This window comes from Homo sapiens, chromosome 17 (genome assembly GCF_000001405.40).
Source record: "Homo sapiens chromosome 17, GRCh38.p14 Primary Assembly".
NCBI classification, from domain to species: domain Eukaryota; kingdom Metazoa; phylum Chordata; class Mammalia; order Primates; family Hominidae; genus Homo; species Homo sapiens.
The window spans coordinates 71,310,224-71,312,980 of record NC_000017.11 but is presented as its reverse complement, the minus strand read 5'-3'; the positions used below and the strand labels follow the sequence as shown (position 1 = coordinate 71,312,980).

The 2,757-nt window shown below is 37.5% G+C and overlaps 1 non-coding gene across 1 annotated transcript; it reads right to left on the bottom strand.

Annotated features, from left to right (window-relative positions):
* Positions 1-1,738: 1,738 nt before the first annotated feature.
* On the bottom strand, positions 1,739-1,842 carry LOC124904109 (U6 spliceosomal RNA). Its single transcript, XR_007065984.1, has one exon. It is a non-coding gene; the product is annotated as a U6 spliceosomal RNA (small nuclear RNA).
* Between the last annotated feature and the right edge of the window lie 915 nt (positions 1,843-2,757).

The following is a 2,757-nucleotide window of genomic DNA, read 5'->3' as shown; positions in this document are numbered from 1 at the left end:
TTTATTTATACAAAATATCTGGAATAGGCAGATCTGTAGACACAAAATAGATTAGTGATTGCCTGAAGCTGGGGGTAGGAGCAAAAATTGACCAGAAAGGGTTATGGGGAATCTTTTTTGTGTGGGCAGGGGAACAATGAAAATGTCTTAAAATTGGACTGTTGTGATGGTTGCATAATAGTCTACATTTACTAAAAATAAATTGTACTTTAATAAAGCTGTTTAGGAAAAGGACCTGATATTTACTAAATACTTACCTGAGCCAGGCACTTTATCTATTCAATTTAATACCCCAAACAACCATCTTCAACAGGCTCTTTTATCCCTACAAGGAAATGGAGCTCAGAGGGCCATTTTGCCCATGGTCTCACAGAAAACTGAGAGGCAGAGACAATATTTCAACTTGGATATGCCTGGGTCCAATGTTGTAGTTTGCATTTAAGACTCTGTTCCGTGGCATAGGAAAAAGCAGGTAGTAAATTGGTTTCAGAATTCAGTTTAGTGTATATTGAGTGGCTACTCCATGTTTAGCATTTTGGCACCTTTAGGAGAGAGAAGGTTTAAAAGAAATACATGATGGCTTCTGCCCGTAATGAATTAACACTTTGAAAGAATAGGAAACAATTAAAAAGTCCCACGAAACCAGTAAGTGCTGCTGGAGATCAGAGGATAAAGGTCATTGTCAGTGGCAGGGGTAGTTAGTAAAGAAGTGACATTTGTAAAGGAGATGCCTAATTTGTGGCACAGAAATACAGGCTAAGGGCTGCCCCATGGAGGAACAGAACCAAATCAAAGCCAGGTCAAAGTCAAATCAAAGGTGGCAGCAAAGTGTGCTGGGACAAGTGAAACCAAAAAAGATTTATTAGATAGAATATCTGGTGGTAACTACATTGGAAGGAGGGACTGGAGAAAGACAGATCAAGTAGGAATGTATTACAGAAAAGAGGAAGCAGGGTATTTGACTTCATGAGAACAAACAGTAAAATCATAGGTATTTTTCCAATATAGGAAAGGCAGGCTAAATATTTATTATTTTATATCAATTTATTCAATTTGGTTCTTTTCATACCCTGCAAGAGAGGCACCTAATTGATAGGAAAACAGAGTCTTAGAAATTAATGTAATTTGCCCAGTATCACACACAGCTGAGGCTGAAGACTTTGCCTCTTAACTCCAAATCTAGGGCACTTTATAGCTAGTGTTATAAAATCAAAGGTGTCTAGGAGTCAGGCTGGCATTGTAAATGAGAGAAGCTTATTAGGTAAAGGGGGGAAAAAGTAGTGTAAACATGATGAGAAATGGCAACTGACATTTTACCTTATTCTCCAGGAGTAATAGGGAATAGTGGAGACTCTGGCAAGTGCCTCATTCTAAAGGGAAATTGCTAGCCATTTCCAAAAGGGGAAGCTTTAGATTTTTAATTGTGGAAGCCAAAAAATGTAGGAGTCATTCTTGACTTTTTGCTTTTTCTCTCTAAAGCAAAATCCTGGACGCTCTGTCTTCAAAAATATAATCAAAATGTGATCAATTCCTTACAATGCTTTCACTACCTCCAAGCCATCATCATGTCTTTCACTTAAAATATTGCAATGTCCTCCCAGCTATGCTCCCTAATCTTACTCTTGATTATCAAGAGCTTCTGAGACTTCATTTTGCAGCTTTATCAAAAGGCACCTTTAAAAAAGTGAAAATGCCAGCCATAGACTAGGAGGAAATATATATTTTTATTTATTTATTTATTTTAATGGAACACTTGATGAATTTGGATGTCATCCTTGCACAGGGGCCATACTAATCTTCTCTGTATTGTTTCTTTTCTTTTTTTTTTTTAATATTTCAATAGGTTTTTAGGGAACAGGTAGTATTTGGTTACATAAATAAGTTTCTTATTGGTGACTTCTGAAATTTTGGTGCACCCATCACCAGAGGAGTGTACAGTGTACCCAATTTGTAGTCTTTTAACCCCACCCTTCCCCCCGAGTCCCCAAAGTCCAATGTATTGTTCTTATGCCTTTGCATCCTCATAGCCTAGCTCCCACATGAGTGAGAACATAGGGTTTGATTTTCCATTCCTGAGTTACTTCACTTAGATTAACGGTCTCCAGTTCCATCCAGGTTGCTGCGAATGCCATTATTTCTTTCCTTTTTATGGCTGAGTAGTATTTTATGGCATATATATATATATATATATATATATATATATATATATACCACATTTTCTTTTTTTGTTATTATACTTCAAGATCTAGGGTACATGTGCACAATGTGCAGGTTTGTTACATAGGCATACATGTGCCATGTTGGTATGCTGCACCCATCAACTCGTCATTTACATTAGGTATTTCTCCTAATGCTATCCCTCCCCCAGTCCCCCACCCCCCGAAAGGCCCTGGTGTGTGATGTTCCCCACCCTGCGTTCATGTGTTCTCATTGTTAAACTCCCACTTATGAGTGAGAACATAATATACCACATTTTCTTTATCTCATTGTTTGATGGGCATTTGGGCTGGTTCCATATTTTTGCAATTGCAAATCGTGCTGCTATAAACATGTGTGTGCAAGTATCTTTTTCGTATAATGACTTTTTTTCCTCTGGGTAGATAGTAGTGGGATTGCTGGATCAAATGTTAGGCTACTTTTAGATCTTTAAGGACTTTCCACACTGTTTTCCATAGTGGTTATACTAGTTTATATTCCCACCAACAGTGTAAAAGTGTTCGCTTTTCATGGTAACAATGCCAACATCTATTATTTTTT